Raw genomic sequence first — 25,904 nt, forward strand, 5'->3', positions numbered from 1 at the left:
CTTCCTGGCTGCCAACCAGGAGGCTACCCCTTTCATTAAGCTGAAATGAGAGAAAAGAGAGGCTACACATTTCCCCATTTCTATCACACTCATACGAGGCTGGGAAGACCCAGTGAGGAATGAGGAAAATAGTAGGGACTTAGGAAGGAGAAAGTTACAGCCAAACTCAGCCAGCCTCAGGAAAGGCAACTGTTTACCAAGCAAGGTACAGAGGACATTCACTTCTATACTAGGAAACCCAAGCCGGTGGTCTGCATGCAGACTGTTAGGTGGGGATCACTCCTAAACACTGAAAGACAAATGGTACCTACATCTGTTCCAGGATCCATTCTTAATAATGATGATCAGAAATCAGCATTTCACCTTAAGCAAGGAATGAACTACTAGAATCAAACACCAGGTGGGTGGCTAAATCAATCTGTGCAGCCAATAACATTTGAAAACAGCCTCATCTGAAAAAAATTTCAAAGCCATCAGCCAAAGTATCCACAAAACACACCTTTCTTCAGGTTTTCTACAGCCTCCTCTTCCATAATACCTTATTTTCTTCTTTGAATTCCACTTGGAGCCCCAGATTATTTGTACTGACAGGACTGGTCTATCACACCTTCTCCTGGAAATAAGAACTCTTTTATGCTCCTACAGACACAATGCGTTAAAATTATGCTAACAATTTCACGTTATAACGTGCGTGGGGCTGTAAGCTCCCTGAAAGCAGGGATCCTGTCTTGCTTATCTACTCAGTGCCTAGCATAAAATGCTTCGTATGTACTAGGCACTCAATAAACCCACGTGCTGAATGAGTGCTCACATTATAGAGGATACACAGTATCAACAAGCTGCTTGTCTAGTCAAAGATATAAAGCAGTAATCTTAATGTTTACTACTACTTTCTGAAAACAGAAACAATAACGAATTCTCTAGAAATATTACACTGGGTCATCTTTCTCTTTAAGACTTTTTCCTATTGCCCTCTTTACCTTTTAGGGGACCACCCAAGTATATTTCACTCTTTGGCTACAAACTCAGCATCAATGAACCCCAACCCTAGAATTGATACACAGATTAAATGGCATAATGTAGGATGAGCAACAGTAGTGTAAGAAATAAGCATGTAAGAGTTCAGATGCTGTTTTGTGATGTGTTCATACTTCTCTGCTTTCCCTCCCACACATATTTTCTCTTCCTCACCCACTCCTAATTTCTCTCTCACATCCCTATTTCCTGTGAAAAAGGTCTCCTTTCTTTAGATTTTTTTTTCATGGTTTCTTTAGATTGTCTTTTGCATTACTTTTGTAATACTGTGACTATGTATTTGGTCTTCCACCCTGTCTCCTGGCATACAACTCCTAAAATCCTTGGAATCTCCAAAATAGAATTTTTATTTTTTATTTTTTTATTTTTATTTTTTTTTGGCTCTGTCGCCTAGGCTAGAGTGCAGTGGCACGATCTTGGCTCACTGCAGCCTCTACTTCCCGGATTCAAACAATTCTTCTGCCTCAGCCTCCCAAGTAGCTGGGATTACAGGCGCATACCACCACACCCGGCTAATTTTTTGTATTTTCAGCAGAGACGGGGTTTCACCATGTTGGCCAGAATGGTCTAGAACTCCCAACCTCAGGTGATCCATCCGCCTCGGCCTCACAAATTGCTGGGATTATAGGTGTGAGCCACCACACCCAACCAGTAATGTCTTTTCGTATGCTCACGAATTGACTGATGGCTGGCAGCTCCTAGGTAGCTTCGGACAGGAGCTGGTCACCAGGAAGACCAAGGCATGACTGATTAGAGGACTGGGACTTTCAGCCCATCCTTAATTTCCAGGGAAGGGAGAGATACTAAAGCTTAAGTTGATCACCAACGGCCAATGGTTTAATCAATCATGCCTATGTAATGAAGCCTCCATAAAAACTCACAAGTACAGGGTTCAGAGAGCTTCCAGATAGCTGAACACATGGAGGTTCCTGAAGAGTGGCACACCTGGACGGGGCAAAAAGGCTACATGGCCCTCTCACACGCCTTGCCCTATCACCTGATATTCAGTGGTATCCTTCATAATATCCTTTACAATAAAAAACCAGTAAACATGTTTCCTTGAGCTCTGTCAACCGCTCTAGTAAATTAATTGAACCCAAGGAGGGGCTTGTGGGAACCCCATTTATAGCCAGTCAGAAGCACAGGTAAAACAACTTGGGGCTTGCAAATGGTGGGGGGCGGGGGCAGTCTTGAGGACTGAGCCCTCAACCGTGGGATCTGACACCATCTGCCTGTCAGCTGGCGTCTGCTGCAGCACCGAGTGCCTACTCGGTGTGTGTGTGTGGCTGGGGGCATCTCCACAAATCTGGTCCCAGAGGTGTTCTGTGTCGACTGTTGACACTGAGTATAGGAATAAAGGAGTATAGGAGAAACCTGATTTTTCCCTACATCCTCAGACTTGTACTATAGCCCTGACTACTCAAATGCTTCTATTAAATCTTTCAAAAGCTAAACATTTTTATTCACCTATTTACCTACCCTCGAAAAACTTCCAAAAGGAATTTTTTTTAAGAGATGGGGTCTGTGTTGCCCAGGCTGGAGTGCAGTGGCCATTCACAAGTGTGATCATGGCTCACTGTAGCCTCAAACTCCTAAACTCCTGGACTCAAGCAATCCTCCTGCCTCAGCCTCCCAAGTAGCCAAGACTGCTGGCATGTGCCACTGTGGCTCCAAAAAGAATTTTTAATTTCTAAGTTAACGGACACAGGAAGAGGTAATGCACATGTTAATTGGCTCAATTTAGCCAATCCACAATGTATAGATATTTCAAAACATCATGTTGTATATGATAAATACATACAATTTTTATTTGTTAATTAAAACAAAATTTGAAGGAAAAAAACTACATACAAAAAACTTGATCCAGCAAGGGCAAAGCATCCTGGAAAAGTTCACTCCTAGAGATGAGGAATCTAGAGAGTGGTGGAAGGATTCACAGTGTTGTTATTATTATTGTTAAATGACCTGGAGGCCACACTACGCTCTCGGTGTGTTTACTGATCTATTACTAATTAGACACTACGGACACAGGAAGTGCAGTCTGGTGTAGTGAGAAGAGTACTCAACCAAGCCCTGGTTCAGATCACAGCTGTCACCACAGCTACTGCCTCCCTGTGTACCCCTCCTTAGCTCTAAAATGGAAGGACAGCTGGGTGCAGTGGCTCATGCCTGTAATCCCAGCACTTTGGGAGGCAGACAGGTGGGTCACCTATGGTCAGGAGTTCGAAACCAGCCTAGCCAACATGGTGAAACCCTGTCTCTACTAAAAATACTGAAAATTACAAAAAATTAGCTGGGCGTGGTGGCAGGTGCCTATAACCCCAGCTACTCGGGAAGCTGAGGCAGGAGAATCACTGGGAGGTTGCAGTGAGCCGAGATCGCGCCATTGCACTCCAGCCTGGGCAACAAGGGCAAAACTCTGTCCCAAAAAAATAAATAAATAAAATAAAATAAAGGACAGTAGCACCTGCTTCGCAGGATCGTTGATGAAAGAATTAAACCATACAGCATTTAGCACTGAGCTTGGCATGCAGTAAGGACTCAAAAAATATTAGTCATTACTATCACTGTCCCAATCCCATCTCCCAAGGCACCTATGAGGGCTGAACCAGCCAAAGCCTTTAAGAACCTGGCACTCCAGGGTTGGTACAGAGCAGGCGCTCAACAGCCGCCACTTATCAATGGTAGTGACTTGCTAATAAACTCATCCCTGCTGATCTGTGGCAATTCTAGTAGAATTAAAGGTTACTTTGCTTTGAAAGTTCTTGGGGATTATGCAAATAAATATAATGGAACAACTCTCTATACCAAAAAAAAAAAAAAAAAAGAAAGAGAAAAGCTGTTTTATTAATATTTATGCCATCGTAAGTAATTTTTATCTAGGCATTTAAACAAGTTCCCAAAAGACATCTAACTTTTTTTTTTTTTTTTACAATGACTATTAGGAAATAATTAAAGCAACCTCCTTCTAAAATCTTCCGTAATTCAGGCTTCTTTTATGCAGACACACCAATCCCTAATTAGAACAGAACAATGAGGTTGTACTTCATTCTGAACAGTGATCTTATCTTGAGTAAGTCTTGCCCCTCCTCAGAATCACTGATCTGCTGAAGAGCCAGAGAGCTCGGCCGGCAGCCCCCACCCTCTCCTCCCCAGGAGAAGGAAGCGAGTCACTGCTCAGGGGCCCTCACTCGGTGCAGGACCGGCTGGGTTTGAGATAGAATAGAAGTCGGCCTCCCCAGAGGACTGTACTCTAATTGAGGAAGACAGCCAATGGACACCAAGCCACAAACTTAAATTAACACGTATGTCATATTTTACAGCCAAGTGGAATAAGGCAGTGAACAAAAGTAGGAAAGGCTTCAAATAAGAGGCTCTGAGCAGAAGTTTAGAGGAAAAGGACACTGACAACTCCAAAGAGGCAGGGACAGAAGACAGCAAGACAGGCAGGCAGAGATGGCTGCTCTGCTGTGGGGAACTTCAAGGGAAAAGCTCCAAGATGGCAGGAGCCCCAGGGTAGGTACAAGTTCCATACGGTGGGAAGGGCCTCACTACGGTAGGCAGGCTTGCTCTGTCGCCCAGGCTGGAGTGCAGTGACACAATCTCGGGTTATTAAATTTGGGTTTAATAAACCGAATTGTCTTAAAACCCTCAACACAGCACTTACATTTATACTAGAGCTTAGAATTTGGGTTTTCTTGTTTTCCTGTCATATGCTGTGTTTTGTATGATGAACGATATTTAAGTGGACATTAACAACGACCTTCCCCAAGAAGTCCATTCTTCATATACGACATTCTAGTGGGGTTCTTCCTACTGTATCAGATCCACATACCTACCAAAGTGACGCCCTTCCCACTGTATCGAATTCGTACCTACCGAGGGGCTCCTGCCATCTTGAAGTTTTTCCCTTGAAGCTCCCCACGGCAGAGCAGCCAGCTTTGCCTGCCTGCCTTGCTGTCTTCCGTCCCTGCCTCTTTGGAACTGTCTTTTCTCAGTGTCCTTTCCCTCTGAAGTTCTGCTCAGAGTTTGCCTCTTATTTGAAAGCTAAATTACAGGACAAATATTCTTCATGTCACAGAAGGGTCCATCCAGGGGGACTCTTTTACACGGAAATGTGCTTAGTAAGTTCATTTAACATGGAAACATGATGAACTTCAAAGTTTGAATTAAGGGGAAATAAATCAAGCTATGGTATCAGGTTAAACTAACTGCAATAAAAATTACAGAACCTTAGAAACTGTAATGTGAATCAGAAGGGAAATACTGATTTATCAAAATGCACTTAATACAATATTCAAGAGTGCTACCTGGAAAAGGTAAAATCTACTTTTGCATAATTGATTATAAAATTTTAGCTTTTTTATTCATTCTCAAATGCACTTGATGGCTGTACTCTGTATCAGGTATCAAAAAACATCCTGCTTCGCTGAATGATTACTATTTACCTTCCATTTAAAAAACCCAAGCAAGACAGGGCCAGGCACAGTAGCTCATGCCTGTAATTCCAGTATTTTAGGAAGCCCAGGCAGGAAGATCACCTGAGGTCAGGAGATCAAGACCCGTCTGGCCAACATGGTGAAACCTCATCTCTACTAAAAATACAAAAATTAGCTGAGCGTGGTGGTGGGTGCCTGTAATCCTAGCTACCTAGGAGGGTGACACCGGAGAATTGCTGAACTCGGGAGGCAGAGGCTACCGTGAGCCGAGATCGCGCCACTGCACTCCAGCCTGGGTGACAGAGCAAGATTCTGTCTCAAAACAAAAACAAAAACAAAAAACCCTAGACAGTCCTTATTCAAAGTTCTTTGTCACCTGGGACCCTAAACTGTCCTGGAAATGCAGCCAAGTCTATTTTTATTTGGTGCACTTAGCAGTCACAGGGAAGTGCCATTCCCAGACAGCCAAGACAACGTTAGTTTCCTCAACATGGTTTGCGTGCTGCTTCCCTCAGCCCTGAAGGGTGGGGACAAGGGTGGAATGGAAGGTGCCTGTCATAGCAGCCAGCTGCCACCAGAACACAGTAATGACCCAGCAGCCCCTGCACGTTAGCCCAATCATCTGGGACAGGGGAGCAAAAACGGGTTGTTTACCACCACCACAGCTGAGAGGGGCACCAGACCCCGGAGAGGTGCTACAGTCAGCTGCCTATCCACCCTGCTTACAGGGAGAGGATTCTCCAGCCAAGAACAGTCCTGGAGGAAGAAGAATGTGGGGGCTGAGCTAGGAGCTAGCCTTTGCAGAAGCAGCCCCAGACCCCAGATTCCCAGCCACCTCAGATTCCCCAGCCATATTGTAAGAACAAGCAAACAGACATCCAGAGACCAGGTCCTTTGCCCCAAATGCTGTGAGATGTAGCTGGCAGGCGGCAACAAGAAGTCAAGAAAGGGGGAAAGAGCATATTCCAGACGTGAAAGCAGACTTGGAAGTGCCAGTCCATGTACAACGCGTGGAGGCGTGTGGGCTATTTGAGAGCCACAAACAGAAAATGAATGCCTTAAGTCCAAAAAGTATGCCAGTACCAGGTATGTTGGCTCACACCTATAATCCTGGCACTTTGGGAAGCCGAGGCAGGGGGACTGCTTGGGTCCAGTAGTTCAAGACCAGCCTGGGCAACATAGCGAAACCCGGTCTCTACAAAAAAAAGTACAAAAATTAGCCAGGCATGGTGGCACATGCCCATAGTCCTAGCTGCTCAGGAGGCTGAGGTGGGAGGACTGCTTGAGCCCAGGAGATGGAGGCTACAGTGAGTCAAGATCACGTCACTGCACTCCATCCTGGGTGACAGAGTGAGACCCTGACTCAAAATAATAATAAAAAGGTACACCATAAAATGAGAGAATTCAGAAACAACTGAGAAGCACAACATGATGGAGAATCACAAGCTGAAGAACAACCTTAGTGTTACTCATCATAGACTATGCTGATAAAGAATATCCGTGGCTGGGCATGGTGGTTCACACCTGTAATCCCAGCACTGTGGGAGGCCAAGGCAGGCAGGTCACCTGAGGTCAGGCGTTCGAGGCCAGCCTGGCCAACATGGCAAAACCCCTCCTTTACTAAAAATACAAAAATTAGCGGGGCATGGTAGTGCATGCCTGTAATCCCAGGAGGCTGAGGCACCAGAATCACTTGAATCTGAGAGGTGGAGGCTGCAGTGAGCCAAGATCGTGCCAATGCACTCCAGCCTGGGCGACAAAGCAAGACTCTGTCTCAAAAAAAAAAAGAATATCTGCAACACATCTAGCAATGTATACCTGGAGAATATATGTGCTGCCTTTCACATTTTAAGACTCTACCAACACACAGGCTCTTGAAGGAAAATTTGCTATGATCAAAACTATAAATGCATATGCCTTTTAACCACTAATTCTATTTCTATGAATCTGTTCCATAGATTTGCCTGTCCGCATAACTTTACAAGGCTATTCATTAAAGCACTGTTTGTGAGAAGACAAGACTGGAAATAACCTAAATGTCCACCAGTGGGGAGAGGATTAAAGCAATTATGGCACAGGTCACATAATGGAATGGTAGACAACTGTAAGAAGACAATAAACGTATGCAGCTGTGTGTACACTATGCTACCTCAGTTAAGAAGAAAAAGGCAGGAAGGGGGAAGAGAGAACTAAGAGTCAACAGCGTCTGCCTGAATACAGATAAACCCTGGAAGACAGCACTACTTCCAGTGGTTACCTGGGAGGAGCTAGGTGGAGGGAGGCTCTCTCTACAGGTTTTGTCCTCTGAGTTTTCTGAGCCATGTGAATGAACTACTAGTTTAAGTAATTAAAGGAACTAATTTTTTTTTTTTTTGAGATGGAGTCTTGATCTGTCGCCCAGGCTGGAATGTAGTGGCGCGACCTCAGCTCACTGCAACCTCCACCTTCTGGGTTCAAGCAATTCTCCTGCCTCAGCCTCCTGAGTGGCTGGGACTACAGGTGCACGCCATCACACCCGGCTAATTTTTGTATTTTAGTAGAGACGGGGTTTCACCATGTTGGCCAGGACGGTCTCGATATCCTGACCTCATGATCCATCAACTCAGCCTTCCAAAGTGCAGGGATTACAGGCGTGAGCCCACCGCGCCCGGCCAAGAAACTGATTTTTTTTTAAGGCACCCCCACTGGGGATATACTGGCCCAGGTGATTAACTTCAGCACCAGGTGGTAACACCTGGAATGGTTCCCAGTGCTCCAGTTTCCAGTTAGGGTCCTTATGATTTGAGGATAAAATGTGAAATGGGTTCACTATTAGTTCAAAATATATTTAGTGTACAAATAAGCTTAAAAGGCTAGAAAAGAAAAGGGCACTTTAAAGAAGAACTTTTCGAAAGTATTTTTTTCTAAAGGGATGTGACAATCGACATGTAACATTTTGTACCCAACGCTCACACAGGGAAATCTGACATTATTTCAAAATACTCAAAAATTAGTTGGCTGTCATGTCTTGTGGCTTCTAGCAAATCAATGAAGAAACCTCTAATATAAAGATGATGTTAAAAATGGAGCTTGTGACAAAGCAAGTGATGATCAGACGCCACACTAAAACACAATCCATTTTCCTATCTCTGGATGGCGCCTCTTAGGGGTAATTTGTACTTTGTTCAAATAATTCTCATTAGAGGTCTAAAGGTTTTGCAACAGGAATTAACTAAAACTTTGCTTCTCACCATTTAACAGATTCTCTTAATCACAAATATAAAAATAAAACAATACAAAAACATATATACCCCCAAAATGTTTTGTTTTGAATTTTTTTAACTAGTTTTTCTTTTTTCACTATGAAAGTAAATACATTTATGGTTTTTTGCTTTGTTTGAAAAAAAACCCTCAGAATATAAAATGAAAAACAGCCCCCAAAACATCTCTAGCTCAACCCCGAAAAACAATTTCTAGAGATTCCCTTCTAGAAATTTCCTACATACACCATTAGCATATCTTTCTACCCCTAAAAGAGATCTAATTATCATTTTTGCTCTCCATCCTTTGTTTATTGATTCTCAGTCTTTTCTCCCCTCCTAAGTACCCATCACTCTCCCTCAACTGGATCTGCAATGCCAGGGAACTCAGCTACTCTTCTGAAGGAACTTCACTGATTTTACCCTTTCTTTTCTAAAGGATTTCTGAGTCATACTCAGTGTTTTACAATCTCTACATTAATTAACTAAATTAACGAAAAGGTCTGGAGTTAATGAAAATGTTCTTAGAAGTCCTACCCATCAAGAAACTTTATCTGCTTGGTGTTGAAGTAGGTTGCTAACCTACAGATATTTCTATTTCAACTATTAAGGTGGGTAATAAAAACCAGAAGTTTTAAGAATCTATTCCAGGAATTGAGAAACAATAAACACAACTTCTGTGTGAGCTGGCTGCATGACATGCATTTTGATGACAGTAGCAAAACCTCTAATATTCTTTGAGATGACATGGAATTAATTTTAAAAAAACTTTAAGCCTAGGCAACATAGCAAGACCCTGTCTCTACAAAAATAATAAAAAATTATCTGGGCATGGTGGTGCGTGCCTGTAGTCCAAGCTACTGCGGAGGCTGAAGTGGGAGGATGGCTTGAGCCCAGGAGTTTGAGGCTAGAGTGAGCTATAATCTCACCACTGCACTTCAGCTTAAGTGACAGAGCAAGACTCCGTCTCAAACAAAAAACAAGAAAACTTCAATTATTCCTATTTATATAACATAGAGAAAACATTAAAATTGTTTTGTGTTATTTATCTAAATGCAGCACCAAAACATTTTACCGTTAAAAAAGAAGACTTAATTAATTAAAAGAAAGCCTGGGCCGAGCATAGTGGCTCACATCTGTAATCCCTAAACTTTGGGAGGCTGAGGTTGAAGGACTGCTTGAGCCCAGGAGCTCAAGACCAGCCTAGGCAACATAGGAAGACCCCGTATCTCTACTAAAAAAAAAAAAAAAAAAAAAATTAGCCAGGCATAGTGGCATGCACCTGTCATCCTAGCTACTTGGGAGGCTGAGGTGGGATTGCTTGAGCCCAGAAGGTGGACATTGCAGTGAGCTGTGATCAAATAAATGCACACCAGCCTGGCGGACAGAGTGAGACCCTGTCTCAAAATAAATAAAAATAAATTTAAAAAAATAGAACAAAGCCTGCATTTCTAATACTAACATTTCCAACAGCTCTGAGATATGTATCAGTCTGAAAGGCACTGATAGTAGAGTTACATAAAATGGGCTACTTAGGGCAAAAAGAGTAAGAAGAGACCATATTTGCCTGGCTACGCACAGTCCATCTCTAGAATACGTAAGAAACAGCTAACACTGGTTGCCTATGGGGAGGGGAATGACCAGTGACCCCAGAAACAGACAGGAGGAAGAGTTTTCACCAATTACTCTGCTTTTTTGGAATTCTGAACCATATGAATATATTATCTACTCACAAGAACTTAAAAAAACTTTTAAAAGAAAATTGTTTGTACAAAAATTTACTAACATCTTAAATAAGAACACTAGTTCCAGTTCTTAAGCTGCTTTTCATGGGGCCCTTTTCCTGCCAAAAACGGGGCTCAGGAGGGGAAAGCATTGTCTACTCTCCCTACAGACCTGAACTTGGATGAAAAAACACACCTTGAAAAAGCTAATCTAGACTTCTGGAAAATAAATCACAGGAGCTCCCCCAATCACTCTGGACACGGGTTTTTTAAAGCTTAATTTTGTTTTATAAGCCCTAAAAAAAAATAATAACCTGGACTCCTAGGTCTGACATTCAAGGCCCTTGGTGATGTTATCTCGCCTTCAGATGCCCAAGCTGATGCTCTACTCACCCTCAATGAGCTCTGGTGTCCTTCCTCCAACAAGCCTCCCTGACCACCCAGCCTGAGGCATCCACTTCCTTCCAGTCAGACATCGAGCTGAGTGTGAAATGCTATAGGCCACGGTGGGCACCACGGGACTGCTCACCCACCACACCACACAACTCAGAGTTCCATGAGGACAGAAGCAGCTTCTGCCACTACTGTCATCACCACAGCCCAGCAGGGTGCCCCACACGTAAAATGTGCTTAAATATTTGCTGAATAAAAGAATGAAGTGGTAGGAGTCAAGACTGGATCCCGGGCCGACCAACCCCCGCAGGGCAGAACCACACCTTTAGTCTCCACCATCTCAGAAGCAAAACCATGAGGCCTCCTAAATTCTGGTAGCCCAGTGAACATAACCCAAAAACTGTCACAAGAGCCAGACCTCCACCCTGCTATGAGTGCTGTTCCCTCTGCCTGGAACAGTACTATCTGCCATCTCCTATTCACCCTCAGGTGTCAGTGCTAACGTCACAGCCCCCGGGGACTTCCAATACCCTTCAAAACAGGCTCAGTCCCCATCTGGTGCCTCAGTCAATGCACAGTATGTCCCCTCCAAGGTCACACCTGACTGCAGTTACCTGTCCAGTATCCATCACCACCCATGAGGGCAGAGATGGGGCCTGTCACATCCCCACTGGATCGCCAGGGCCTACATCACAGCATAACAAATATTTTCTAAATTAGTGAATAATCCTGAACAGTGTGACCTAAGCCGTGAATATTTTTGAAGGAGTCTTTCATCATTTTTAATTTGGAGTCTTGCATCTTTAAAAGATGATCGTTTTAAAGGAACTTTGTCATAAATATCTAGGTGATACGTATCTTAAAGAAAACTCTAGACAAAGAGGATAAGTAAATGTACTTACAGTTGTGCTGTCCAATACCGTAGTGACTAACTACATGTGGCTATCTTCATTTACTCAAACCAGGTAACATTTAAAATTTAGTTCCTAAGTCACACTAATCACAATTCAAGTACTCAACAGCCACACGTGGCTCGTGGTTCCAGTACTGTGTCATATAGACACAGCGTAGAGCCGCCCTCCCAATAACGACCACTGGACAGCGCTGGCTTGGAGGGCATCCCGAGAACACAGGCATCCCCAAACAAGGAAACATCTCAATTCACCCTCTTCCTCCTGGGAAAGAATCCGTTCTCCCCTAAAGTTTCAGTGACTGAGAAAGCCATCAGTGAAAGCAAAACACTTGATTCTCTTGCCATCATTCAAATGATTCCCTCAGAGACTTCTCAACAGAAGTTCAACTACGGGCAGGTGTGCTCTTCAAACAAAAACCGATTCCCACAGTAGTAGAGGAACAACCACAATGACACAGAAAACCTATCAATATGTTATGTCTTTTTGTTATTTTCAATAAAGGTGACGTTCTGAATATGTAAATCAGATTTAAGTAAAGATATCCACAAATCGGGGAAAAATTTTGTCCACCACGGGGTAACTTTTACTTATAAAAAAAAAAAATCACACCAAATCTAGGAGAACAGAAAAACAGTAATCTCCATTAAAAGAATTTCCTACTATAGAATCTGCAGGAGGAGAAAAGTCACACAGTACAGCACAGAGCTGAATCTGTTCCTTTCAAGATCTGTGTAGCTGAGCCCGAGAGGCAATTGAGTTTCACTGGTATTCCTTTCAACCAACCTGACTAAACTGGACAGTGATCCCAAGGCCATTTTCTTCCCAACTCTGTTTTCAATAAAATACTATATTTATAATTTCTCTGCATTTACTTTTCCCTTTTCTCTAAGTCCTAATCTAAATCAAGCCCTTGTTCTGAAGCAATAACTAGAAACAGAGTTCCATTTAATTAAGAGTTCAATTTTCCAATAAAAAACAGTTGAACTGCAAACACAGACGGAGTAAAATGAGTCAAACGATTACCCATTTTGTAAGATTCTCGAATCTTAGTTCGTTTTCTTACAAACTGGTTCCCAAACTGCACTAGAGCTGGCACTGAAAGCCAAACAGGCAGGGGCAGAAGCTTCCCATGTATTCAGTGAGAAGCCTCCTGATTCCGGGTCAGGCTACATCATCTTAGTCCTCACTGGCCCAAGAAGTAGGTGATGGCTAATATTTTCCCATACAATTAAACAATAAAAACAGCTGCCTCAACCTGCTATATGCCAGGCACCCTAGTAGCCCCATGTACCAAGATAATCAAAGTAAGCAGAAGTAGAGCCAGGCACAGTGGCTCCATCTCACACCTGTAATTCCAGCTACTCAGGAGGCCGAGGCAGGATTGCTGAAGGATGGGAGTTCAAGACCAGCTTGGGCAAGCAAGACCCCATTGGAAAGAAGAAAAGTAATGTAAAGAAGGGGAGGGGAAGGGGAAGGGGAAGGAAGGAAAAGAAAGAAAGAGAAAAAAAGAAGGAAGGAAGGAAGGAAAAGAGAAAGAAAGAAAGAAAAAAGAAAGAAAGAAGAGAGAAGAGAAAGAAAAGAAACAAATGGAATACTGCAGGGTAAAAAGCCCCTTTTAGAGATCTCTCTCTCTCTCTCTCTCTCACTCACACACACACACACACACACACACACACACACACCCCACCCTGCAAAACTCAAATGTGATGTCACCAGCCCAAGTCACAGCGCTGCCGAGCTGGGAGCTGGGACTCACAGTCTACTCTGAGCAGGAGCCAGGGCTCCCTCCTCAGCACCACACTGACCGCCTCCCCGTATAAAAAGCTGACATTTCCTTCAACTGTGACTCACAGTTAGAAGGTTCTACTTTTAATCAGGTGACAAATACTCAAAATATTTTAATCCAAAGCAACTGGGTCAAACTCGTAGAGTCTATAATTGTCTAAGCAAACCCTAATTACCTGATAAATTTCTATAGCTCCTGAATGTCCTCATTCAGTTTGTAATCAAATACCCAAATCTCCTTATTTAAATGTTGTACAAGCCTTCTCTACATGTTATCATACAGAACAGTGACTTATTTTTCTATTTCACTGGTTATTTTAACCATAAAGTTAAAACATGTTTAGGTGGTGCAGTTTTAATAAGAAAAATCCAAACTAGGGGGAGGAGAAGCAGCTTGTGAATTATAAAAAGATTTGCTTTACAACAGAATTGTACAACTCCACTACACAACTACTTTTTCTCCTTACCACAGATTATGCAAATTCGAAAGGTTGAATTAGGTGCAACTGGAAAATATACCTACTGTATACAATATAGTACAGGCATATTAGAAAGGCAAATTAAGACATTTTCAAACAATAGCAGACAGTACAACTAGAAATGGGAAAGTAAAGTCAGATTTAATCATGTAGAATTATTTTCCCCATTAGATTTTACTATTCTTAGCAATGGTTCAACTAAACAGTCTTTTGATTAATGGAAATGAAACACCGGGGAAAATGTCACACGGGATAATATCCAAATCTTTCTTAAGGGTAAGTTTTAAAAGGAATTCAACTTTTAGAGACAGAGCTCAAAAATAGCCTTGCTTCCTAAATTTAGAACCAGAAAACACCCTAAAGGCAGTATTTTAAATACAGCCACAGTCACCGCCTATATTGTCTAGGAACTTAATAAAAAAAACTTTAAAAAGAGAGGGGCCACTTTTGTTTACTTCCATGCCTTTCACACAGCCTTGCCCAATTTGATTTGTGTGCCCTTGCTCAAATCTCTTCAAGTCACAGCTCAAATGGCAAAGACCTGACCACTCCAGGACGCCCCGGGGACTCTGCTCGTGGCCTATTGTAGCACCCCTGTCAGCAGAGCACGGCCCCAGGGAAAGGAGAACAGGCAAAAGCCCCCACAGGCACTGCTCCCAAGGCTTACACTTCTGCATCAAAGACTCATGCAATAGGAGAATTTTGCCGAAAGCCAAGTTTGAGCCTGACTGAGAAGAGCAGCATCCTTTTCCAGTTAAAGCAAGGAGTGTATCCGGAGGGATGCACTGCAAGGAAAAGACCTCAGAGAGGACTAAAGGGAACGCTGAGCGCATGTGCTAAAAAGCAGACGGCACGGCCAGGAGCTTCAGAGCCTAGGAGAGACGGGACAACCAGAAGAGGACTCAGATGTGAGCAAGCCATGGGCCTACAACGATACCCCAGGAAACAAACTGTCATGGTCAGGGTGCTTTTCCCAACAACCAGGAATGCATGGAAAACAGGCAGGCTTCCCCAACTCCTGGCTCTGTGCTGGCTCAGCAGAAGAGCTGTCACAGGAGCCCAAGGCTCCTCAACCATCCCAGGGCCTGCCTCCCACTGGGGCATGCGGCCCTGGACTTCTGCACACGGGGACACTCAGGAAACAGGGGAGGGAGTAAATGAAGCCTTATTCAGATCACCCTTTCTGGTTCCAGAGTTTTTGCACTTGACTGCATTTCTGTACCCTTTCCTTAAGTTTTGCCTCGAGGTTTCATCTTCTCAAGATGGTTCTAAGTACTCACAGGCATCTATCAGAATCCTGTGTACACTGCTAATGCTTAACAGGTACCTCAAGATAAATTATACACAGTAAACAAACAGAATCACATACTTGTCTGCTGCTTAAACAGTCCATGAAATATGCTTCAAAATTATCAATAATTTTCAGTGTACATCCTGATTTGATTTAAAAGAAAAAATAATTCAGAACACACACCATTTAAGTTTTCGTAATTTTAAGCTTTCATGGCCATCACGTTCCTATTTTTAAAAATACAATAAAAAATGGAGACAGAGTCAATGGTATAGATGACAGAATTCCCGGCTATGTATCTGCTGAGGTGCTACACTATCACACGCGTGCCTGCACACTGGTTTCTGTGGATACGAGCACACATGGCTTCTGTCCTTTCCAGAACTGCTGAGAAACAGGTCTTGCTCCAATCAGACTAGCACTCCCAGTAAGTCCTAGGACTTACAAGGTACGACAACGTCCCTGGTTAACGCTAGTGTCAGTTCCCATTGGGCGGATATGCCAGACACACATCATCTCAGGCTACCCTCATAACCACCCTGAGATGGGAATTGTTATTATCTCCATGTTACAGATGAGGAAACTCTGAGCTCAGAGAGCTGATGTAACTTGCCCCAAACATGCTCTGGCCTCAGCACTCCTAAGGCCAGCTGGTTTGGTGGCCGGGTGGGAGCCCATGGGTACGGAACTCGGAAGCAAATAACAGACCCAATTAGAAGATAGGTGGCAATCTGCTTGAAAGTAAAACCTTAACAAGAAAATGATAAGAACTTTAAGGGACAAATACTATATAATTCTTTCACTAATTCCCTCAAATATTTCCTGAGGGCCTACTATGTGTCAGGCACTGCCCCTGGGGAGGGAAGTGCTGGGAAGAGGGCCGTGGAAAGGCTCTGGAGTTCTTACTGACGCTCACCTTCTGGTGTCACAGGAAGGGGAGCAAGCCTAGAGCCTGAGATGACAAAGACGGACGAGAAATGCCATGTGGGCCACTGGGGTCAACAAAAAGCAAAAGAACAAAGAAAAATGCAACCGGTCACCAGGCTTTCTGATAAATTCGTCTGATTTTAAATCAAGTCATCCATATAACTGTTACAGAGGAACAAAAAAGACAGAGAGAGAGGGCCCTGCTAAGCTCTGAAGTGCTCCAAGACAGGAGACCCAAGCTAGCCTGCTGCTCACCTGGGCTCTCCCGGGCTCCACATCATGCAGCTCAGAAAACTTGCCCTGCTGCTGTTTTCCTTAAAGCTGTCTGTGCAGCCGTGGTAGGCCAGTGCTCCCCAACGGGTGCTCAGAGAATGAAGTCCCACGTTATATCAGTCACCAAATTGCAGCCCATGGGCGAAGTCCTCAGATGCCAGTCTTTACAACTAGAGTTTTACTGGAACACAGCCAGGCCCACTCGCCTATGGCTACTTTCTTGCTGAAATGGCAGCCTTGAGTAGTTGCAACAAGAGACCATATGGCTCAGAAAGCCAAATGCGTGCTCTCTGGCCCTTTGCAGAGGAAGTCTGCGGACCCATAATAGGCTAAAAAGAGTTCTAGCGTCAAACAGGATTGAGAGTGGTCCAACTGTAGCCCCTCTCTCACAGTGCCCAATCAGGACACCAAGGCTCTGGGAAAGTCTGCAGTCAAATTCCTCAGCTACAAGCAACAGCATCTGAGCACAAACCATTTGTTGAGAAATACCTCTTAGCATGCCCTCTAGTTTCTTGGAATACATGTGAAGAGCTGGTTTGAGTAAGGTAAAGAGGGGTGCCCTCACTAATGGGACCCCAAAAACTAAACTGACAAGCTTTTGCAATCTTCAGAAACTCACAATAAGGTACATTTCATCTTAACTAAGGTAAGACACACTTTGGCAAAATCATTTTCCTAACTGTTTTCAAATACATCAAGTAAAAACACAAGTCAGCAATTATGGACCCCCCAGGTAATCACATACTTTGCCACACAATTACAACACACTACTTAGAAGCTGTGAAAACACAGGCGACTAATCTAAGCATCAACTTCCAACTGCAGGACTCAGTCTCTTTGTAAGTTATGTTCAATTCTGTTTACAGAATCAAATCTGAATGTTCAGCCAGGAGCGACTTTCCATCTTCTGAAGGCCCTCTAAGGCGCCCTGCACATGACTTGTCCTTGCCTACCTTCATCCCTGACGACCTTTGAATGGGGCCACCGCTCTCACCCCTCTCAGTTATTCAAAAACGAAGCACGGTCATGAAATGTCCTAGTCCTAAAAGTCTCTATGACAACTTTTATTCCTACTTAGCCAGAACTCACTGATGGGGTAACATAACCGTTTCTCATTCTCCCTGAGGTAAACAGGAACACGAGCCCACACACGTCACGCTGAGGATAACACCAGAACCAGAGGGAAAAGGGGGACGCCCTAACCCAGGAGGAAGAATACACTCCTGGCTGCCCCCACCACAGGTGGTTACAAACCTCCCCCTTAGTGATCTCATTCATGTGCGGGAAGGCCGCTACTGAAACTCACTAAGCTTGGCAGGTTCCTGGGTCGATTCAAGTAAATGCATTGTTTACAGATAGAGACTTAGAAAATAAATATATAGAGCTACGGACTTTAACAATCTAGTTTGGATCTGGTTTTGACCCTGTATCACCTCTCAAGTCCAGTTCCTCACCTAGAAAATAGCAGTAACAGCATCTTCCCTTCCTCACAGGACGCTGTAAGGATCAAACTGAGGTGACGTGGAGAAAAGCACTCTGATACATAAAGTACCAGACATACATAACAGACCATTTGGTTGACAACCATATTCGCCACCAGCTTTCTTTAAATAAGCTTCCCTATTGCATTTAAAAGGATTCACGTCATAAAATGTAATCACAACTGCTTAGAGCCACTTATACAGCACAGGATGAAACACAGCTATGTTCAATCTTCAGAATGTAGTTTTTCTTTTCCTTTTTCCCCCAGAGACAGGGTCTCACTCTGTCACCCAGGCCAGAGTGCAGTGGCATGATCACAGCTCACTGCAGCCTCGACCTCCTGGGCTCAAGCGATCCTCCTGCCACAGCCTCCTGAATAGCTGGGATTACAGGATTGTACTATTACACCCAACTAATTAAAAAAATTTTTTGTTTAGATGGGGTCTCACTATGTTGTCCAGGCTGGTCTCCAACTGCTGGCCTCAAGCAATCCTCCTGTCTCAGTCTCCCTAAGCACTGGGATTATAGGCATGAGCCACCACCCTGGCCTGCAATTTCAAAAAACTTTATAAACAGTCTGTTGTGTGCAAATTTTGCAATAAAGCTGACCAAAAAAAAAAAAAAAAAAAAAAAAAAACAACCCAGAAAACAAAAAACAAAAGTCTACTGCTTGCCTGGATATTTGTCTTATACTGTTAAATCATGAATCTCTGATGTTGAAAGACACAATATGCTATTTTAACTTGGACATATTAAATAAAGAAGTTTCCAAAACACCCAACTAACTATATACCGGTAATATAAAGTCCCCACTTATTGTAAGGGTGCCAAGTAAAGGAAGACCTCATGTATGAGAAAGTGTAAAGGCTTCTACATAATACAAGAAAATGCTACTTTAACATCTGAGGCCATCAAATTCTGTGCCTCTCCAGGGCTGCTGCTTCAGTGGGGTGAAAGGTACCGTTTCTCTCTTGCTACCCTCATTCGCAGCACATTCCGTATTTCTGCATCATCTCTGCATAAGCTTCCCAGGCTTCGGCAACTTGTTTGTCATCAGTGGCAGTGACATTCATCACTCTGAGGTGCTGCATGACCTTCGGGAGTGCTGTTTGCAACATCCATGCCCCCAGATGAGCAGCACCCTGGCTGAGCAGCTCCCCAATGTCGGGTGCATTTTTCTCTCAGCTCACTGCCACCCTTCACAGACACATCTAAGTGACACTGGTGGCCCCACAGGCCAGTCTCTACAGACATGCACTGCAGTCCAAGTAGATCCTGTTTCTCAGGCTGCCAAGGGCTCCTCCTCCTTTCAACCCCTCAGCTCCTAGACAGAGGTCCCCTCCCTCAAATTTGATCACATGCACCGGGCACACACCCTGCTCCACTAGGCCCAATTTTCCCCTGGGAGCCTCAGAGACACATCCCGTCACTAAAATAAGATTGAGTTCCTCAAGAATGTTATTCTCAGGTCTGTCCCACCTAACCAAATGCCTTCAGTTTTTGAATGTATTTAATGTAAAAACTCAAGCCATTTATTTGTTTAAAATACATCCCTAAGATCTCTGTCCATCTCATTACTCAATTTCTTAGTGGAGCAGTTACAACAGACAAAGTGTCCCTCGTTTCTTTTGGAGACAGCGTCTCACTCCATTACCCAGGCTGGAGTGCAGTGGCGCGATCTTGGCTCACTGCAACCTCTGCCTCCCGAGTTCAAGCAATTGTCATGCCTCAGCCTCTCAAGTAGCTGGAATTACAGGTGCATGTCACCATGCCTGGCTATGTTTTTGTATTTTGAGTACAGATGGGGTTTCCCCATGTTGGCCAGGCTGGTCTTGAACTCCTGACCTGAAGTTGATCCACCAGCCTCCGCCTCCCAAAGTGCTGGGATTACAGGCATGAGCCATGGCGCCCAGCAGCCCCTTGTTTAATGTGCTTGATAATGAGCCCTTCCTTGGTCCCCCATACTAACAGACCCTTTCACAATAGTGTGATGGTGATGAATGTGTAACACATGACCCAACTTAAGTATGATGTTGACTTTCTACTTTGGATTAAATCGGAGCCATTTAAAGCTGACTTTTGGTCCCACGAAAGAGCCCCTGTGCCTTACAAGGATCAAAATTGTAAAGGAAGGGGGAAAAGGTGGTTAAGTGTGGAAAATCCTTTCTGATCAACTTATTAAGCATCTGATCATCCAATAATGGACACTACTATGGAAAAAGCTAACCTTTGGGCTCCATCTTGGAAACAGCTGGATGTACATATAAGGACATGCCTTTTTGTTAAGTCTTGTGTTACTAATTGTCCCCCTTTTTAAGACAAAATCTACAACAAATTCATTCAACAACAGCAAAGCTACAAAGCCATCCAGGTTACCAGTTTCAGAAGACAAGCTTCAAAGCTGAACTCGCCACGTATGACCTACGTCTCACAGAACTGAAGACTACTCAAACACAGCAAGATTAATGAAGCAACGGAGATCTGTTTTGCAGTACAACGGCATTTAAACTACTGTTTCCAAATTTCTCACTTCAATAAGTTCATTTTATAAGATTAACGTCAAACTCAACTTTTATCAGCTAAAAAGAAAAGCATTAGTGATTTTTATATACCATGAGCATCATTTACTCCTCCCCACTGTTTAACAAATTTTAACTAGATAAGAATCTCCTTATGATTGATCTTTAAAAATCGCTTTTCACTTCTACATTAATATTAAACGTCGCTTATCATAACTTGATTCCAGGAATTGTATTCAAACTTAAGCCACAAAATTCAGGTTTTGTTTCAACAGCAATAGCAGTTTTTTTTAATATGCTAGTGGTCGGTCACAGAACTATTTCCACAAGTTGAACAGCTGTGTCTAGTGCAAATCTGAAGGCAGCGATGTAATTCAATTTGGACTCATTCATTAGAAACTGATTTTCAGATGCTACCACTGCAAGACTACTGGAGAAATGCAAGCTGCGCTGGAGATGGAATTGTTCGCAGCGGCACACAAGTTTTTGCGGCAAAGGAGAGAGCTCTAAAAGAGGAAATACAACTAGTTCATGTTACCATGAACCAGCGCAGTGGGACCCAGAATTACTGAATTAATAGAAAACTAAATACTTCTCTTAAGCAGCTATGATAACTTAAGAAAGTTTCCAGGGAAGCCGTTTAATGAAAGGAAACAAACAAAAAGATGATTTATTCAGTATCCTGCTCCATTTTTTTGAAAAATTGGAATTCCTACATTCCTTAATTCTTTGTACATCTACACTGTGAAAGCAACACAAACTCAAATGGAGATTGCAGCCCAAATGAACTTAAACCTGCTGTTTAACTTTCTTTTGAAGTTATACATGGAAATGAAACACACCACAGCAACTTTCATGACATCTTGCTAACGAAGTTTGGGTTTTGAAAAATGGAATGACTAGTTGACTAAAAACACACACGCGCGCACACACACACACACACACACACACACAAAACAAGGAGTTTTGAAAATAAGCACTAAGCATCTTTCCAAGGAACTCACTCATTCCAAGAAACTTCGGTTCTAACTCGCAAGCTGGCGGCTGCTGTGAGTGTCCTCTGAATGCAGCCTGGTCAATGTGTCGCCAATCCAGAAAACACACTGCCCTACCTTTGGCCGCGATCTTGCTTTCTCTAAGCATCAAAGGTACCCTCCGCTGTCATTCCTCTGGACGGCCACGCGTGTGGACACGGCCGCGGATGGATGCGTAGGACATTACCAAACAAACCCACACGCTGCACTTTACTTCTTCCCTCCTGGAGTGCCACTAGGGTCCCCGCGAGGAGGGCTGATCGGGTGCGGGGAGGCCGAGTGCACCGGGCGTGTGCTGACCAACTCGGGCCCAGTGACAGTCCTGCGACGAACTTCCACCCTCCCGCGCGGGGCGAGGGGAACGGGCTGCGGGGCCTGCTCCGAGCTCCCGGCTCGATCGGTATCCGCGACCACGACCCCCGGACGCTCTCTTTCAGGTGGGGGTGACAGCGCGCCCCGGGCCCCCGCCGCCCCGGACCCCCTCCTCACCTGTGCTGTCATTCGCCGAGAAACCGGGCGAGCTGAGTTTGGCTCTTTTGGGGTTGGGCGGTCCGTCCAGCAAGTTCTCAGCCATTTTCACCTGCTCGCGAAAACAGCCCCGGGCACGGGCGGCCGGGCCGGCGAGGGCCCGGACGGGGGTCGGGGGCCCTGCCGGCTGCGAGGGAGAGGAGCGAGCGCGGGCCGCGAGCGGGCGGGCGGGCGCCGAGGGAGAGGGAGGGCGCAGGCCGGGTGGGGGAGGCGGCGGCCAAATCTCAGCCACAGCAACAGCGCCCCGCAGCGCTCACCGCCCGCCCCCGGCCGCCGCCGCCGCCGCCGGCCGCGGCCCCCTCATCCCCTGCCCGCCTCCCGAGCGCGACACTCCGCGGTGGGGGCGCCCCGGCGGCCCGGCCGCCCCCCCGGGCCCGGCTGGCAGCGACGGCGCCCGGCCGGGCGGCTCAGGCAGTCCCCGAGAACATGGTGCCGCCGCCGCCGCCGCCTCGCTCCCCCCCCGCGCCCCACTTAATGAATTCGCTCGCGGCCCGACGACGAGGGGGCTCCGGGCTCCGCTCCCGGCCCGCGGCCCGCCGCCGCCGCCGCCGTGAGGAAAAACAATGCGCCGAGCGGGGTCGCCGCCGCCGCCGCGGCCCCCCCACCCCCCGTTCCGCCGCCGCCGCCGCCGCTGCCGCCGCCGCCGCCGCCGGGCTCCGGGAGGCCGAGCCGAGAGGCGAGCGGGGCCGCCGGGGCGGGCGCCGAGGGCCGGGCGGAGCGGGCCGGCCGGGCGGAGCGGGGTGCGCGGGCGGTTGTGGGGCCCGGGACCGGCGGGGCCGAGTAGATCGCGCTCGAAGCCCCGGTCGGGTCCGCGACAAGATGGCGGCTGTTGATTCCTCAATTAAAAAAAAAAGAAAGTTTTTTTTCTTCTCTTTCCAGAGCCTGAACGGGGAGGGGGTGGGGGCGGGGCACGCCGGTGCGTCACCCCCCCGCGGCGTCACCACGCACGGCCCCCGCCCCGCCCCCTCCACCTGCGCCGGCCGTGGCGGAAAGAGCCGAGCGTGCTCGGGCCGAAGGGCTGAAGGCGCGGCCGCCAAGCGTAGGGAAGCTGGCGGCCCGGCGCGGGCCAGGCCTGCGGGGCGCCTGGGCTCCGGGCTGAGCCACAGCTTTTGTTCTGATGGCGACCAGGCGTAGAGGGCCGGGGCTCCGGGCCCCAGCGGGCTCCGGGAGCGGCGGCCTGGCCGCGGGCTGGGCTCTCGGGCGCGGATTCGACGCCAGCCCGGGCCCGCCCGTCCCGCTGGGGCGGCGCTGCGTGTTCCCAGCTCCTCGCGTCCCCTTCCCCAGACCCTCCTAGGTGGCGTCGGTCGGGAACGGTCGGGGCGACCCCAGCCCAGGCCGCGCCACTAGCCTTCGCCGCCGGCCAGGGAAGTGGAATGGCCTCTGCAGGTTACAGACCGCCCTTGGGTCCTGCCGACGAGGTGGGCGGATGGGGAAACTGAGGCGGGGGGCGAGCAACTGCTCCAAAGTGGTCGAGGCAGGAAGTGGCAGGGCCGGGATTCGGGTCCCGCCCTACCTCGTGACACTAGGGAGTGAGGGGGCCTCACGCCTGTTCGCATCCCAAGGCGGCAGGGCAGACACCCTCACCTGTGAGAGCGGGGTGGCGAGGGCCGGCCTGGGCGGAGAAGGGCCCGCGCATCGGGGCTTAAGCCTGGACGCTCAGGCCGCACTCCCCGCCCCAGGCAACTTGCCTGGCGCCTCGCAGGTGCCCCAGACAGGGGTGCGGGCCTGGGGAGTCCCCCACGCGAGACCACAGCCCGCGGGACACTTCTACGAATACCCGAGGTGTTCCCATCCCAGTTAGTTATCTGCCCCTCCAAACTTGCCCGGCTTCCTCATAAAGGTATCAGCAGCTCCACTGTTTCCTAAGCCAGAAACCCGTGAGTCAGCGCGGACTCCTCCCTCTCACCCGCCACGCGCCCCTCTACCCACGGTCTTTACCTGGGAGACTGCTCCTCCCGCACTGTCCCGGTGGCTATGGTGGCAGCTACTCACTTAAGTGTTCTTTGCTCTCCACGTTGCTCCCCACGCAGCACCAGAGTTAACATCCCGAAAAGAGAGGGAGAAAATCTGTTTAAAACAACTCCCTGGCCAGGCGCGGTGGCAGATCACCTGAGGTCAGGAGTTCAAGACCAGCCTGGCCAACATGGTGAAACCCCATCTCTACCAAAAATACAAACATTAGCTGGGCGTGGCGGCGTGCGCCTGTAATCCCAGCTACTCGGGAGGCTGAGATGCGAGAATCACTTGAACTGGGGAGGCCAGTAAGCCGGGATCTCGCCATTGCACTCCATCCTGGGCGACAAGAGTGAAACTCCGTCTCAAAAACAAAACAAAACAAAACAAAATCCCAGACATAGAAAAAGAAAACACTACATAGTCTTTCTTTAAAAAAGAACACGTATGAATTCTCTTAAAAACATAGGTGTATGTACATATGGTGACTGTCCTTGAGTGTCAAGATTGAGTGATCGTTCTGCTTTTCTCTGTTTACCTGTACTGCTCAAAATCTTGGGCCGTGATACCGCTCTTGAATCTGTCTCTTCTACTTTACATGGCTCACTTCACCATCATCATCCTACACCCACTTGGCCAGTAGGCAGTTCACATCATTCAGGCTTTTTTTTTTTTTTTTTCAAATGCTGGTCCCTGTGCTGAGAAGACATGCCTGGCAAATTCTAACTCATCCTCCAGAACCCAGTTCAAATGTCACCTACTCCAGGAAGCCCTCCTAGCCCACTCCTCGGCTCCCATATCACTTCTGGGCTCTGTGAGAGAACACATAACACATCCTGCCCCATCTTCCCCGCCTCCACTGCCCCCGAATTAGTTCATGTTTTTACTTATGCATCAAATAGCTCTTGAGAATCCCAAGGGCATTGAGACTGTGCTAATCCCCTTGGCCAAACATAAAGAGATCCCCATATATTCAAGGAGTTAAAATAGCACACCCTGGAAGCCATAAATGGAAGTATTCAAGAAGTCAGTTTGCACAGGAATGGCAAGAAGTGTATCAGTGGCACAGGGCAGGCCACACCCTGTATCTGAATGCTCTGGGTGTCCGTCTCACCAAGGGTCTGTGAGCTCCTTCGGGGCAAAGATGGTGTCTTAGTCACAGAAACAGTGCTCTGCAAGAAGAAGTAGGTTTGTAAAACTGAATGAGTGATGAGCTGTGTCAGGTGCTCTGAGTCCTAGAGGCCTTCAGGCCACTGAAAAGGGTGGGCCCCAGCCTGAGGTGGCTCCAGGCCACTCTTCAAACGGGACAAGGTGTCCAGCCACCTAGAGGTCTTAGGGCCTGCCTTGGGGCAGTGGAGACACCATGCAGCCCCCCAGGGGTCCATTGGTGAGTGGTTTACACAGAAGTGGGCACAGGAGCTTGAGCCATTCCCTGACAGGTTTCCATTTTACAGAGGAAAGCAAGGGAACTCAGTCGCAAGGACTCAGAAGTAAATAACCCGGACATGGCAAGTCTGGGCCTGGAACCCATGTCCTCACTCTCCAAAGACCCTAGTCTTCCTGTCTCACCATGTTCCACCCTCAAAATATACCGGCTCTGCAGTCCCTTTTTCTGTCTCATTGTTCTCACCTGTATCATTTTGATCAATTCTGGTATTCACTGATACCTGTTTTTTCTTTCCTTTCGATTTCTTCTCCCTTCAGTCTGACTCAAAGAACCCTGAGCTCAGACACTGATGGGGGAATAGCAAGGAGGGAAGCGTGGCTCCTGCCTGCACTCACTTAGCTGGGGATCACCTTCAACAAGTGAGTGCCTTAGGGATACCAGGCCGCTCTGCCATGCCTCCCATGGATAGCACTTCCTACAATCCTGGAAGGAAAAATTGTCC

General features: G+C 46.6%; 1 protein-coding gene across 9 annotated transcripts in view, besides 12 other annotated features; it reads right to left on the minus strand.

Annotated features, from left to right (window-relative positions):
* CREBBP (CREB binding lysine acetyltransferase) overlaps positions 1 to 22,905 on the minus strand; it is a 155,660-nt gene extending 132,755 nt beyond the window's left edge. For 8 of the 9 annotated variants that reach the window (XM_047433625.1, XM_047433624.1, XM_005255124.5 and 5 more), the window contains exon 1: positions 22,024 to 22,905. In XM_047433625.1, the coding sequence (XP_047289581.1) occupies positions 22,024 to 22,108 (85 nt within the window). In that variant the 5' untranslated portion in view covers positions 22,109 to 22,905. The remainder of the gene's footprint in view (positions 1 to 22,023) is intronic. The other variant, NM_001079846.1, reaches the window with a different exon arrangement.
* Positions 2,079 to 2,263: a silencer, noted in NCBI's record as "fragment chr16:3909888-3910072 (GRCh37/hg19 assembly coordinates)". NCBI's record gives its function as "represses an EF-1alpha promoter that drives an FKBP-Casp9 reporter gene in an ReSE screen in K562 erythroleukemia cells {active_cell/tissue: K562}" and the evidence as "EXISTENCE:reporter gene assay evidence [ECO:0000049][PMID:32094911]".
* Positions 13,400 to 13,694: a silencer, noted in NCBI's record as "tiled region #6998; K562 Repressive DNase unmatched - State 8:EnhW". NCBI's record gives its function as "represses a minimal TATA promoter and a strong SV40 promoter by Sharpr-MPRA in K562 cells {active_cell/tissue: K562}" and the evidence as "EXISTENCE:reporter gene assay evidence [ECO:0000049][PMID:27701403]".
* Positions 14,231 to 14,766: an enhancer, noted in NCBI's record as "H3K27ac-H3K4me1 hESC enhancer chr16:3922040-3922575 (GRCh37/hg19 assembly coordinates)". NCBI's record gives its function as "activates a minimal SCP1, AML or CMV promoter by ChIP-STARR-seq in naive H9 embryonic stem cells {active_cell/tissue: H9 hESC(naive)}" and the evidence as "EXISTENCE:reporter gene assay evidence [ECO:0000049][PMID:30033119]".
* Positions 14,231 to 14,894: a biological region, named in NCBI's record as "Sharpr-MPRA regulatory region 1734".
* Positions 14,600 to 14,894: a silencer, noted in NCBI's record as "tiled region #1734; HepG2 Repressive non-DNase unmatched - State 19:H4K20". NCBI's record gives its function as "represses a minimal TATA promoter and a strong SV40 promoter by Sharpr-MPRA in HepG2 cells {active_cell/tissue: HepG2}" and the evidence as "EXISTENCE:reporter gene assay evidence [ECO:0000049][PMID:27701403]".
* Positions 21,894 to 21,943: a silencer, noted in NCBI's record as "silent region_7140". NCBI's record gives its function as "represses an Ori minimal core promoter by ATAC-STARR-seq in GM12878 lymphoblastoid cells {active_cell/tissue: GM12878}" and the evidence as "EXISTENCE:reporter gene assay evidence [ECO:0000049][PMID:35858748]".
* Positions 22,024 to 22,073: a silencer, noted in NCBI's record as "silent region_7141". NCBI's record gives its function as "represses an Ori minimal core promoter by ATAC-STARR-seq in GM12878 lymphoblastoid cells {active_cell/tissue: GM12878}" and the evidence as "EXISTENCE:reporter gene assay evidence [ECO:0000049][PMID:35858748]".
* Positions 22,114 to 22,423: a silencer, noted in NCBI's record as "silent region_7142". NCBI's record gives its function as "represses an Ori minimal core promoter by ATAC-STARR-seq in GM12878 lymphoblastoid cells {active_cell/tissue: GM12878}" and the evidence as "EXISTENCE:reporter gene assay evidence [ECO:0000049][PMID:35858748]".
* Positions 22,584 to 23,160: an enhancer, noted in NCBI's record as "H3K27ac hESC enhancer chr16:3930393-3930969 (GRCh37/hg19 assembly coordinates)". NCBI's record gives its function as "activates a minimal SCP1, AML or CMV promoter by ChIP-STARR-seq in primed H9 embryonic stem cells {active_cell/tissue: H9 hESC(primed)}" and the evidence as "EXISTENCE:reporter gene assay evidence [ECO:0000049][PMID:30033119]".
* Positions 22,584 to 23,380: a biological region, named in NCBI's record as "H3K27ac hESC enhancer GRCh37_chr16:3930393-3930969".
* Positions 22,761 to 22,810: a silencer, noted in NCBI's record as "silent region_7143". NCBI's record gives its function as "represses an Ori minimal core promoter by ATAC-STARR-seq in GM12878 lymphoblastoid cells {active_cell/tissue: GM12878}" and the evidence as "EXISTENCE:reporter gene assay evidence [ECO:0000049][PMID:35858748]".
* Positions 22,831 to 23,380: a silencer, noted in NCBI's record as "silent region_7144". NCBI's record gives its function as "represses an Ori minimal core promoter by ATAC-STARR-seq in GM12878 lymphoblastoid cells {active_cell/tissue: GM12878}" and the evidence as "EXISTENCE:reporter gene assay evidence [ECO:0000049][PMID:35858748]".

This window comes from Homo sapiens, chromosome 16 (assembly GCF_000001405.40).
Source record: "Homo sapiens chromosome 16, GRCh38.p14 Primary Assembly".
NCBI classification, from domain to species: domain Eukaryota; kingdom Metazoa; phylum Chordata; class Mammalia; order Primates; family Hominidae; genus Homo; species Homo sapiens.